This window comes from Homo sapiens, chromosome 1 (assembly GCF_000001405.40).
Source record: "Homo sapiens chromosome 1, GRCh38.p14 Primary Assembly".
Classification (NCBI taxonomy): Eukaryota; Metazoa; Chordata; class Mammalia; order Primates; family Hominidae; genus Homo; species Homo sapiens.
Window position 1 is genome coordinate 197,683,432 of NC_000001.11, and position 14,548 is coordinate 197,697,979.

At 33.7% G+C, this 14,548-nt stretch overlaps 1 protein-coding gene and 1 pseudogene across 16 annotated transcripts in view; one reads left to right on the forward strand and one right to left on the reverse strand.

Annotated features, from left to right (window-relative positions):
* DENND1B (DENN domain containing 1B) overlaps window positions 1-14,548 on the reverse strand; it is a 277,403-nt gene that overhangs the window by 178,684 nt on the left and 84,171 nt on the right. The gene's annotated exons all lie outside the window — the stretch shown is intronic.
* Window positions 5,262-7,417, forward strand: EEF1A1P32 (eukaryotic translation elongation factor 1 alpha 1 pseudogene 32; annotated as a pseudogene).

A 14,548-nucleotide genomic window follows, 5' to 3' on the forward strand; every position in this document is an offset into this window, starting at 1 on the left:
TTACAGTAATTGAAGTGTATGGTGCTGGCCTGAAATAAGATAGCTGCAGCAAGAATGCAGAAACAGGCACAAAACTGAGATATACAGAGGAGTAAAAACGGAGACATACAAGAGGTAGCTGGATAAAATTTCTGGTGCTCCACAGAGAGAACCTGGTCTGGGACTCGCACTGATTAAAAGATATAAAAGCAGTAAGAGATATTAGTATTGTATTCTCCAATGTTACGAAAGATAAATATCCTTCTTCATATTTTTATACTCCCATCAATAAGCAACTTTATTATCATATTCTCAAGCATGAAATCACTAAATTTTCTCTTACAACGATGAAAACATATATCTTTATTTTCCTAACCACTTGTATCAAGACATAGGTTTTAATGTGTTCAACCACTTTTGATTTTATAATCACAATATGTGATTGATTAGTTAGCAACCAGATCAATGGAGTTAGTGGTGAATCAGAAAGCTCTATTTGTTACAGTTGGAAAGATCAGTTGGAACAAGTATGTCTCCAAAGTTTTTGCGGCTGTTTTCAACTTCGGAGGTGCCCTAGGGCCTAATCAGTGCCTGGCACATTACTCATGCTAAGAAAAAATCTGAACTCATGTAAAACGACACCACTTTAGCACCATCAGAATCAATTTGCCCTGATAGACATTTCAAGTAATATGATTTAAAAGAGTCTGCATGCTTGCTTTATCTTCCTAATAAAGACAAGATAAAATAAATGCTTACTCTGTGCCAAGTTCTGACCTAAGCACTTAGCATACATTATCCCATTTAACCTTACAACAACCCATGTTTCATTCCCTTTTATGTGTGAAAAAAAATTAAATAGAGCGACTGAGAGGCTAAGTAGCTTGTCCAAAGTCAAACAGCTAGCAAATAATAGAGTTAGGATTTGAAAACAAAGCCTGAAGCTTCAAACCATTATGCCCCAACCCTATGTATTTTTTTACATTGTTTTCATCGAGATTGCAATCGATAATCAGCAGATGCCTAAATGTGATGCCTCCTTGATCCTTATACAATGTATATTATCCATATATATGAAGAGTTAAGATTATGCAATAAATACTTCAGAACCAAGGTTTAATCTGGTGTATAAAAAATAAAGGGATGGGGTATGAAAGAATGGTAGGAGATGAGACAATATGTCATAACAAATGTGAGTCTTATCTGCCATAGATTGTTCTATTCCCTTGAAATTATACCGTGAGGCCAAAAAAAGATGCTACTTATATCTCTGCTTATCTGTTACTACTAAGAATATCAGATTTACAGTAAAAACATATATTTAACTCTTTTCAAGTAATAGACTTATAAATAAGAGCTTAAACTGATTCTCACAGATGAGCAAAACACCAAGTAATTAAATTTGAGGCATTTTATTTAAAATCTGGACCAGGCACAGTGGCTCATGCCTGTAATCCCAGCACTCTGGAAGGCTGAGGCAGGTGAATCACGAGGTCAAGAGTTCGAGACCAGCCTGGGCAACATGGTAAAACCCCGTCTCTACTAAAAATACAAAAAATTAGCTGGGTGTGGCAGTGGGTGCCGGTAATCCCAGCTACTCGGGAGGCTGAGGCAGGAGAATCGCTTGAACCCAGGGGGCAGAGGTTGCAGTGAGCCGAGATCGCACCACTGCACTTTAACCTGGGTGACAGTGTGAGACTCCATCTCAAAAAACAAAACAAAACAAAACAAAAACTGAAGCAAATTATATGTCATATTGAGAACAAGAGTCATATCAGAACAAATAAATAATACTAGAATAACAGGCAGGATGAGATTAAGCAAGGTCAATAATAATAGAGAAATATATGGTTGACAGACTATTTCATCTTAAGCTCAGGATTGGGAATCTGTAAATAAGACAAAGCTGTCTATACCTGGTGGTCAGATAAAGACAAGTAACTTGGAAGGGAGACAACCTGGGGTCAGTTGTTATACTTTCAGCAATTTTATTCAGTAAACTTTGTTAGACTTCTTATAACTCCTTCAACTTAAAGCAGGAACTAAGTACTTAGCAAGTAAAATAAAATTATATTCAGGTTTTATTTAGTCAGCAAGGTGTACTAAAAAAAAATCAGGAATCTAGGAGATCCTAATTATGTTCTGTATTTTTAGGTTATCTTAAATTACACAAGATTTTTCTTCTACAAAAATGCACATGCCCATTAATGTTATTTATGTATTCATTTTTTAAGGCTAGTCAAACGAAGTAGTGGAAGTAGAGAAGGAACAAAGAAATGTTAACTGATAGTGATCAATTAGTTGTAAGAACTACTGCACTCAGACCAGCCCCAAAATTTAAAATCTGAAGTCCTAAGTGTTTTTTTTTTAATTGAGTGTTTCTTGAAATTCCAAATAGAAATATTGGGAGCTAATATTTTGCAAACTTATACTACCTTATCCATTATAGAAGACCAACCTCTTGGAATAAAAATTTAGTTCACACTTCCTGCTGATGTAATCTTTGGCCTCTTGCTGAGTTTATAAGTGAAGATGCCAATTTTGTTCTTAGTTCTTATCATGTAGAATGCTTTCTACGATAAACTGAAATATGAATACCAGTTGTTTTTACATAACAGAAAGCCATCAAAGAGCCCTCACCAAATAGCAATGAGTTTTGATCACTCCAGTCTAGTCTGCTTTGGCACAAGAGAACTTAAAGAGAAAACACAATTTCCTAAGTCTCTTACAGAGGATTTTACTCAATAAGGGAGGAACTATAAATAAAATTCCTTAATAAGCTTTCTCAGTTAAAAATAAATAATTCTCCTGAATAAATTATATCATGCCTTCTACTTATTCTTACATTTTACGGAAATATATCATAAATAAGGGACAAAATAAAACAGGAATGACTAATTTATAAAAGCAGATTAAGGTAAATTCTGTAAAGTTAGACTTAACCTTAGATCAGCTAAAAAGAATAACTAAAATAGTTATTCCTTTCACTGAAAATGTCCTTGAAAGCATAATACATTCAACAAGTCTCTACCACATTTTGCTACTGAGTTTTCTCAGCCTGCTGCCACTAGTAATCTCTAGTTTCTACATTTAGTAGCCCTTTTCCATTCTTTATCATATTTAACTTTTCTACAATGTGTGACACCTCGCTCAATGACTTTAACATGTGTTTATTAAGAAATGTACTAAGAAATGTACTATGTATGAAACTAGGATTCAAAGATGAAAGTACTCTGCTCCTTAATCTAAGAAAACCAAGATGTTAGACTAATCTCCTCCCACTGAAAAGTATCTTCCTAGATATCTGTCTCTTTTTTTTTTTTTGTAACTCTCTTCCTATCTTTGTCATTTCTTTTCAGGCCGCTTCACAACTCCTTCTTCATATTGGTGTTCCCTCTGGACTCTGTATTCAGCTCTTACCTTTCCATGGGGAATCTACTCTCACTGCTATACACAACTGATAAAAGCTTGGGCTCTCCAGCCAGAATGCTAGGTTCAGAATCCAGTTCAACGACCTAACAGCTGTGTAAAATCGTTCATGCAACTTTTCCTCTCTTTGCTTCAATTTCCTATTCTGTGAAATAAAAGAGCTGTATTGAGGATTAGATAATTGATATGATACAAATAATGTTCAATACAATGTCTAGCATGTTAAAATGCTTAGTAAATGGGAGTCTTTATTTCTGAAGCAGAATAGTATAAATAGTTGAGAACATGAACACAGAGTTCAGAATGCATTGACTCAAATCAATGTTCTGCCACTTAAAAGCCGTGGAACCTCAGGCGAGTGACATGGCCTCTCTGTGCCTCAGCTTTCTCATCTATAAAATAAGATAACAACTAATAGCTACTTTGTGGTGTTACAGTGATAATTAGATGAATTTACAAGAGTAAAGTGCTTGGGGCAGCATTAGGTAAGGTTTTTCTAAGTATTATCGATGCTTCCAATGTCTCCTCAGAGCTGCATATTTTTTCCATTTGCAACAACTGTTACTTTGATATTTTAACCAGAATGTTTGAAGAAATAAAACACATTATGTCTAAGACTTATCTATTTATCTTCTTCAAAAATTTCTACTTTCCCTTAATTAGTAGCATCACCATTTATCTAATCTTCTAAGCAAGAAATTTCAGTAACTCTTTACTCTTCACTTTCTTCAAGATCTCTTAATAGATGCAGAAAGGCATTTGACAAAATTCAACACTTTTTCATAATAAAAAATCTCAACAAACTACAAACAGGGTGAGACTATCTCAAAATAATGAAGGCCATATATGAAAAACTCACAGTTAACATTAGACTTAATAGTGAAAAACTGGAAGTCTTTCCTTAAGATCAGAAACAAAGCCAAAATGCCTATTCTTACCACCTCTATTCAATATAGTACTGGAAGTCACAGTCAGAGCAATTCGGCAATAAAAAGAAATAAAGGGCATCCAAATTAGAAAGGGAAAAGTAAAATTATTTCTGTTCACAGATGACATGACCTTATATGTAGAAAACCCTAAAGAGTGCATCAAAAATTTATTAGACATACTAAACAAATTCAGAAAAATTTGTTGTAGGATATAAAAATCAACATACAAAATCAGCTGTGTCTGTATACAGTAACATCAAACTATTTGAAAAGCAAATTAAGAAAACAATCTCATTTACTATAAGATCAAAAAGAATAAAATACTTAGGAATAACATTGACCAAGGAAATGAAAGATTTGCAAATGAAAAACTATAAAACACTGATGAAATAAATTTTAAGAGACACAAATAAATAAAAAGACATCCCATGTTCATGAATTGGAAGACTTCAACATCATTACCATAGCCATAATACATAAAGCAATCTACAGATTCAATGCAATCCCTATCAAAATCCCAATGGCATTTTTCATGGAAATAGAAAAAACAAACCTAAAATTCATATGGAACCACAAAGGACCCCAAATAGCTAAAACAATCTTGAGAAAGAAGAACAAAGGTGGAGGCTTCATATTTCCTGATTTCAAAGTATATTACAAAGCTACAGTAATTAAAACAGTACGGTACTGGCAGAAAGACAGACATATAACCAATGGAACAAAATAGAGAGCTCAGAAATAAACCCATGCAAATATGTTCAACTAATTTTCAACAAGGGTACCAGGAACACACAATGAGGCAAGGATAGTCTCTTCAACAAACACTTGGGAAAACTGGATGTCTACATGTAAAAGAATGAAATTTGACCCTTATCTTACACTATACACAAAAATCTATTCAAAATGGACAAAAGACCTAAGCAGCTTTTTGGCAAAGGGTTTGCCACCAGAATACAGGTGTCATGAAAACTACCCCTAAATCAAACCGAAAATGGGAAAGAAAAAGACTCATATCAACATCATCATCACTGGACATGTAGATTCATTCAAGTCCATTACTACTTGCCATCCAGTCTATAAATGTGGTGGAATTGACCAAAGAACCATTAAAAAATGTGAGGACAAGACTGCTGAGATGGGAAAGGGGTCCTTCAGGTATGCCTGGGTCTTGGATAAATTGAAAGCTGAGTTTGAGCATGGTATCACCACTGATATCTCCACATGGGAATCTGAGACCACCAAATACTACTATGTGACTATCATTGATGCCCCAGGACACAGAGAATTTACCAAAAACATGATTACAGAAACATTTATTATATTAGTCCATTTTCACACTGCTGATAAAGACATACCTGAGACTGGGTAATTTATAAAGAAAAGGAGGTTTAATGGACTCACAGTCCCATATGGCTGGGGAGGTCTCATAATCATGTTAGAAGGCGAGGGAGGAACAAAGTCATGTCTTACATGGCAGCAGGCAAAGAGAGAAAGAGAATAAAGTGAAAGGAGAACCTGTTATAAAACCATCAAATCTCGTGAGACTTACTCACTACCATGAACACAGTATGGGGGAGACTGCCCCCACAATTCAATTATCTCTCACCAGGTCCCTCCCACAACATGTGGGAATTATGGGAGGTACAACTCAAGATGAGATTTGGGTGGAGACACAGAGACAAATCATGTCAATATCAAATTGACTGTGCTATCCTTACTGTTGCTGCTGGTGCTGATGAATCTGAACTTGGTATCTCCAAGAATGAGCAGACTCATGAGCATATCCCTCTGGCTTCCACATTGATTGTAAAACAACCAACTGTTCATGTTAACAAAACAGATTCCACCGAGTCACCCTACAGCCAGAAGAGATATGAGAAAATCATTAAGGAAATCAGCACCCATATTAAGAAAACTGGCTACGGACCTGCTACAGTAGCATTTGTGCCAATTTCTTTTTTATTTTAATCCATCCTTTATTAATTCAACAAAACTTAAGGAGTCTATTACCTACCAGGCACTATGCTTGGCACTGAGGTGCAGCAGTGAACAAGAAACAGTCCCTGCCATCAATGTTAGAATGGTGACAATATGCTGGAGTCAAGTGCTAACATACCTTGGCTCAAGAGATGGAAAGACACCTGTAAAGATGGCGATACCAGTGAAACCATGCTGCTTAAAGCTCTGAATTGCATCCTACCATCAATTCATTCAGTTGACAAGCTCTTGTGTCTGCCCCTACCTGATGTCTACAAATTGGTGATATTGGCATTGTCCCTTTGGGGCTAGTGGAGACTGCTATTCTCAAACCCAGCATGTGGTCTACTTTTGCACCAGTTAACACTACAACTGAAGTAGAGTCTGTTGAAATGCACCAAAAAGCTTTGAGTGAAGCTCTTCCTAAGGATAATGTGGGCTTCGATGTCAAGAATGTGTCTGTCAAAGATACTCGTCATGGCAATGTTGCTGGTGACAGCAAAAATGACTCACCAATGGAAGCAGCTGACTGCACTGCTCACATGATTATCTTGAGCCAACCAGGCCAAATAGGTTCTGGTTATCCTCCTATACTTGACTGTCACACAGCTTATGTTGCTTGCAAGTTTGCTTGATTGAAGCAAGATTGATTGCCACTCTGGTAAGAAGCTGGAAGGTGACCCTAAATTCTTGAAATCTAGTGATGCTGCCATCGTTCAGATGGTTGCTGGAGTGTTGAGAGCTTCTCTGACCATCTCCCTCTTGGTCATTTTACTGTTCATAATATGAGACAGACAGTTGCTGTGGGTGTCTTCAAAGCAGTGGACAAGAGGGCTGCTAGAGTTGGGAAGGTCAGCAAGTCTGCCTGGAAAGTTCAGGAGGCTAAATGAATATTATCCCTAATACCTGCACCCTAGTTTTATTCAGTGGTTGAAGAACAGTCCCAGAAGTATTTGCCTGAATAGGCCATTTTAAGTTTAATAGTAAAAAACTGATTAATGATAGCAATGCATTATAAAACCTTCCGAAGGAAAGGAGAACATTTTATGGAACATTTTTGGGTTTTTTTTGTGTGAGAGTTCTTAAGTTGTTAGTCTTTAAAATAATTACTTCTTAATGGAAATAACCTGACCAAAAAAAAATCTGTCATAGAACTTTGAAACCCATTAAAATATATTTTAATGAAAAAAATAGACTTAAACATAAGACGTGAAAAGTGTAAAGCTCTTAGAAGAAAACATGGAAAAACTTTCATGACATTGGTCTTCGCAATAATTTCTTGGCTACAACACCAATCATGGATATATGATACGGATGTTTATAAACATATGCACAGGCAACTAAGGCAAAAATAGACAAGTGGAATTACATCAAACTAAAAATCTTCTGCACCTCAAAGAAAACATCCTGAAGAGTGAAAGGCAACCTATAACATCTAAGAAAATATTTGCAAACCATACATATGATAAAGGGTTACTATCCAAAGCATATAAGGAACTCCTATAACTTAACAGCAAAAAAAAAAAAAAAGACCTGATCAAAAATTGATCAAAGGACTTAAACAGACATTTCTCCAAAGAAGTCATACGAATGGCTAAGAGTTATATGAAAACATGCTCAACATCACTAATTATGAAGGAAATGCAAATCACAGTTGGATATCATTTCACACCTGTGAGAATGCCCATTATCAACAACCAAATAAACAAACAAACAAAGATAAGTGTTGGAGAGAGTGTAGAAAATTGGCACCCTTGTATACTGTTGGTGGGAATATCAAATGCTACAGCAGCTATGGAAAACAGTTTCCCAAAAAATTAAAAATAGAACTACCACATGATCCAGCATTCCCACTCCTGGGTATTTATCCAAAATAACTGAAATCAGGATCATAAAGGGATATTTGCTCTTCCATGTTCTCTGTAGCATTACTCAGAATAGCAAAGATGTGGAAACATCCTACATGTCCATCAACAGATGAATGGATAGTGAAAATGTGTTATATACATACAATGGAAAATTACTCAGCCTTAAAAAAAGAAAGAAAATCCTGTCATTTGCCACAACATGAATGAATCTGGAGAACATTACACTAAGTGAAATAAGCCAGTCTCAAAAAGACAAATACTGCATGATTCCACTTAAATGAGACATCAAAAATAGTCAAACTCACAGAAGCAGAAAGTAGAATGCTGGTTGCCAGCCAGGGTCCGTGAGTAGAGAGAAATGGCAAGTTGCTGTTCAACAGGTACAAAGTTCAGTTATATAACATGAATAAGTTCTAGAGGTCTGATATACAACACTGTGCTTATAGTTAACAATACTGTACCATAAACTTAACAATTTGTTTATAGAGTAGATCTCATGTATCTGTGCCTCCACAATAAAAAAAAAAAAATCTCAAATCCATTCCCTTTCCCACTTTCTCTTTAAGCTTTCTCTAGTTGAGGTTCTCAACAGTTCTACTAAACAATTACCGTAGCCTTCTAACTAGTCTCTATGTCTCCAACAGGCTCCTTTTATCCAATTCAAAGCACCTAAATCTAAAGTTACCTCTTTAAAATATAGATGTGATGTGGAAGCCTCCTAAATATATACCATTTTATGGTTATTTCCTATTAGTCAATGCCAAAGCAGTTAGCATAGTATACAAAGTTCTTCATAATCTGACCAAACTACCTTTGTAGCCTCAGTATCAAGTTCCATAAATCCCACACTCCAACCACATGAAATTAGCAGTTATTTGAACAAGTTCTTGTGCTTAATTTAATATTTTGTTACTTCTTCCATTCCCTATGGCTCAAATTGGAGTTATCTGATGTTAATCTTCCTCCTTAATGCCCCATATCCTATAAATAATAACTCCACAGACAATCATGTAAAACTTCAGACTATTACAATTTGCAATGCAAAACATATTAAATAATCCTAGCTGGTTATATCAAAAGGAGGAAGTGAAATATATTGTTTACCTCTTAAAAACCAAAATATTTACAAGGGTCATAGGGTATGATTATCAAATTATATTTTTCAGTATGGATTTAAAGACATAGGTTGGGGCCTATAAAAGCAGTTGTTCTTGGAGATTCTTTTCTTTCCCTAAACTTTGCCTGGTAAGTTCATCCACAGAAGTAAATTCCATACCATCATCCTCTTCCTGAACTCCAGTCAGAGGTTTCCTTCTACTTAGAAGATATTCCTATTAGAATACCTGGCACATCCAAAATTAAAAACATCATCTTCCCTCAAAATATGATCCTCTTACCATATGCCTTATTTTTACATTTTCATGCTAACTTTTCCCTAATCTAACCTTTTGCAAACTTTAGAATCAGGGAACAACCTTTCCTTTATTAACACATCAATAACTAGTTAAAACCACATGAACTCTGTGTCTGCATTTTACAAAAATGACCACTAGATTGCATTGTTGTCTGGTCAAATAGGCTAAGGATATAGCTGTATGTTACCACTTAGTACTAATTCACCAAGATAAGCTGCAATATTGTCACTTATCTAGAAAAATAAACATAAGTAAACATGTGACTGTGTGTTTAAATAATTGTTAAAAGGTAACAAAATAATTCATACTTTAAATAAAACATTCACCATCACAGTTAGTTAAAATGCTTAAATTTAACAACCATGAAGTTAATTTTTGAAATTAGGTTCATTTAAAGGTGCCCAAATATTAAGCAAATATTGTATACTACTTAAAATATTTTTATGAAATATCATACCTAACATTATGTCTTTAAGATTTAAAATGTCTAAATATGTAAAGGTCTATTAAAATGCACATAATTTATCTGAATCAAAATGAAAATATATCTAATAAGTAATACCATTCATCTGGACTCTTTTAGCTGTCTCTTAATATACAAATGCATTCCTTTTCTCCAAAACATGGCAGCTGGGAATGAAAGATTTCAAATTATCATTTTCACATCATATTCCATCATCTTTTCATCAGTTTCTCCTAGCTTTTCTTTGAGCTCCATTCTTTTACAAGAGGTCTCTTTTTAGATCAGTCCATATTTCCATAATCCACACTGCTGTTTCCTCCTCTTCTCCCCAGGGTAGAATAACCCCCACATCCAGAACTATGGCCTACAACTGTCATTAAGCCTTATAACAATAACAAGATAACAAAAGATCGGGTGGAGAAGAGGCTAGCTGGTAACATATGTTGATCAAGTTCAATATTTTCAGCTAGTACACAATAATTTTAAACTTAAAAATTTTAATAATGAAGTACCTTCATACCTACTTCTTATCCTAAAGTGTATTTCAGGCTTAAATTTTAAATATTAATAAGTAACCTGACAATACTTCCTTTAAATCGTTTATCTATTAATAATGTGAAAGGGGGAAGGAAAAATAGAAATCACACCAAAGAGAAAGGTGAGATGGCAATTCATGGATAATTATTCATTTTATAACCCACTCAACTTAGCCTTATTTTGCTAAAAAAAAATTAGAAAAATTCCCCTAAAAGTCATTTTAAAGCAATATACAGTTATAATAAACAAAATTATTTCAAAGTAACATATTTTATGAGTTAATAATGAGTTTATGCCAATTTTGCAAGACTTTATTTTCTACCGAGTAACATTTTAAATGCTACTCTTGTTGTTTCCATTATTTGTTTCACTTCACAGTTAACTAACTTTAACTTCTTTTCAAACTAAAGATAAATTTGAAATGCAAAACTTTGAACTAGAAGAGAGATTTTCATGTCATGTTATATTTATGTTTTTTCTCCCGACTTCAGGAGAATTGCTTCTAATTCATCAGCCTATGTTAGGTAACCTTGAAAAAATAATTTCTCCACTCTATTTCTCTCAAAGATTCAGAACTCTTTATAGAACTAAATTCCAGTTTCACTTTTGACAAATGTTTACAGCTTAATAAAGAGTAAGCTTTTGGGAAACCAGATTTATTTCTTTCAATCAGAATCATTTATCATTATTTAATTTCTATAGATTGCTGCATAACATCAGACCTTCCAGGTCTGGCTTGAATCATTTATATAGTTAGAATGTAAATTTCACTGCCATAAAAATAGATATAAAAACCTCACCTCTAAGAACTCATTAAAGTAAAAATCTGTTCACCCTTCAACAGAAAAATAAGGTCATTTGTACAGGGGTTTTCAAATACAATTTTATTATCTAAAATGTACGCAAAAATATTCTTTTCAATGGGAGTCTGCTAGATGAAATATTCCAGCAAATACTTCAACTATAAAGCAAAGTTCATAAAATATCACTATGTTTTTCCAAATTAGTTTCCCTGTTTGCATTAAAATTTTAAAATTTTAGCAGTAGAGAATATAAAATAAGCATGCAGGTAAAATAAGAATGTGATTATGTTTTGCCTTGAGCTTCCTAAACTGCGCCTGCTAAAGAAATAAAAATCTAGTCTACATAAGATAGATAGATACAAAGATATGTTTATGATGATGATTTTAGATTTACTTTTATACATTTTTCCACGTTTGCCCCTTATAATGTTTCGTTCTGATTCATCTTTTTTAGTCATAAGAATATACCAATAGTATATTGGTATAGTGGTTATACCACTATAGTGGTTGTATGTACAAAGAAGCCGATAGGAAATAATTGCTATTTTAGCATTACTGAAATATATAACTAATAAAATTTTTGGAATATGAAACCAAGTAAACAGCCATAATATAATTATAATTATCTTACATTTACCCATCATCTCTACAAAATTTATAAATTTTTATTTAATTAAACATTAAGAAATCAATTTGTTTTAGAAATACGAGTTTATATATAATATTCACAGGGTTAGAAAAAGGAGTTTATATATAACATTTATAGGGAATTTACTATTACATATCAAAAATTGGTTCAAGACATTTCATTCTTTACATTTGAAAAAACAATAGTTGATATAGAATGCAATGAAATTATTTCTGTCTCATGTAATTGACTGGTAGTTAAAAATGACAGAATCAAGCCCAAACAACCAAAAAATATCCAATTTTTAGAAATCCACGATCATTTAAATATTTATTTTCAGAGTATTAGAATTTAATAAATTATTTCTGAATAATTTATATCTTCTTTATGATGATGCAAGAAGCAAAATTATAGAATACTCAATGTGTCTCAATTTCAAATAATGAAAAACTAATCATTCCTACCAAATACCTTTTAAATAATACAAAATTTTTTAAATTATGAATGTATAAAAAAATTGTTTACTAATAAAACAGGCATTCTTCCTAAACTATGCAGACCTTAACTCCTACCTGCATCCTTTTTTTATTCAATAATGACCCATCCTTTTTATATTCAATAATGACCCATTAGTCATTATTAAATATAAAAACAAAACTGTATATAGTACTGAGTAGACTGGATTTAATGTCAGCTAAGTAGCTGGCTGCCTGCCATTCATTCCTATGAAGATGCAGCTGAAGGGTAAAATTTAAAATTCTCTGCTGTTTTTGTATAATACATAATTTTTACTACTATTCATTCTTACAGTTATACTTTAAACTGTTTCCAGATAATTTCTACCAAGATTTGATTAATTAATGGAATTTTTATTATTGTTATAATTTAAAATAATCATGTAACATATGCACTTTTCTAAAAGCATTTCTTAATGCATTTTCATTATTTATCATGGAAGCACATACTAGGTTGTCAGTATATACTGAAATTTAATTTCACCTCCTACAGAAATGAGGGACAGAGGAGAGAACAAACAAGTCAGGTACTATCATGAACAGTCAAGGACCTATTAAATCTTCATGCTACCTAACCCCTCTGCTAAGTTACATCATTTCATTCAAACTTTGTTGAATTCCTACGATATGTGTCATAACACCAGTTTGAAATCTTTCCAAATTTAAGGTGAAACACCACTCTTAAATCCATCCTTCTTAAATTACCTTGCCTATTATTTTTCCAAGAAAATTAAGATAAGTTATCATGAGTTTATTCAACTTCCTCTGACTTGTCACTCATTCAACTAGCCGTTCAAAAACACTTATTCATATCTTATGTTCCAGCCACTCTACTAGATGTGGAGATTGAAAAATGAGAAAGTTCTGCCCCTTTTCCTTCAAGAAACATACATACAGCCTAGGAGAGACAGAGACATGCAAAAAAAAAAAAAATGAAAATATAGTTAAAATTAGAGGTACATATAAGAAGCTACGGAAGTACAGACAGGTTGCCTTGGAGGCTCAGGAAAGCCTTCAAAGAAGGATTAATTTTCAAACTGAGTTTTAATTAACAGAACTGGACCACACAAAAGAAGAAACAGAATGGAAAAGTAAAAACAGAAATTCCACAAAAAAAAAAAAAAAAGGAAAAGAAACAAAACCTAAGAAGACAGGGATAGTGTGTGAAGGAAGTCTGACCATGCCCTCTCATTTGCTGAATATCTTCCACAGTGCTTCAGACAGACCTTAACTCCTACAATGAATCCTGTGAACTATCATGTCACTGATAGCAGGGGATTTTTTTTTATGGCAAAACCCATATAACTGACAGGGTTAGGATTCAAACTCATGTCTATATTACCAAAAATTTATGTAAATCTTCAATTAAATAAAAGAAACAACATTCCAACATCTCTATCACTCTACTACAACTTCAAATCATGAATTAATTTCATCATTCTGTCTTTCTGCTACAATAGGGTATCACACTCAATTATCTGAACTATATGGCAGTGTCCTCCACTCTCACCCTAAAAAGAGGACCAACTAAAGGACAAAACTCAGTGATCAAAAAATAAGGCTTAAAGATCACCTTCTATGTACTCCTCCTAAACACCAGCATTTCCTCATGAATCTCAGTCTTGCACTCCAATTAGAAGTAGAGCCAGAACACAAATTGGATAGTCAAGACCCACTGGTGTGCTATATTCAGGAGACCCATCTCACATGCAAAGATACATATAGGATCAAAATAAAGGGATGGAGGAAAATTTACCAAGCAAATGGAAAGAAAAAAAAGCAGGGATTGTAGTCCTAGTCTCTGACAAAATAGACTTTAAACCAACAAAGATCAAAAAAGACAAAGAAGGGCATTACATAATGGTAAAGGGAACAATTCAACAAGAAGAGTTAACTATTCTAAATATATATGCACCCAATATAGGAGCACCCAGATTCATACAACAAGTTCTTAGAGACCTACAAAGAGACTTAGACTCCCACACAATAATAGTGGGAGACTTTA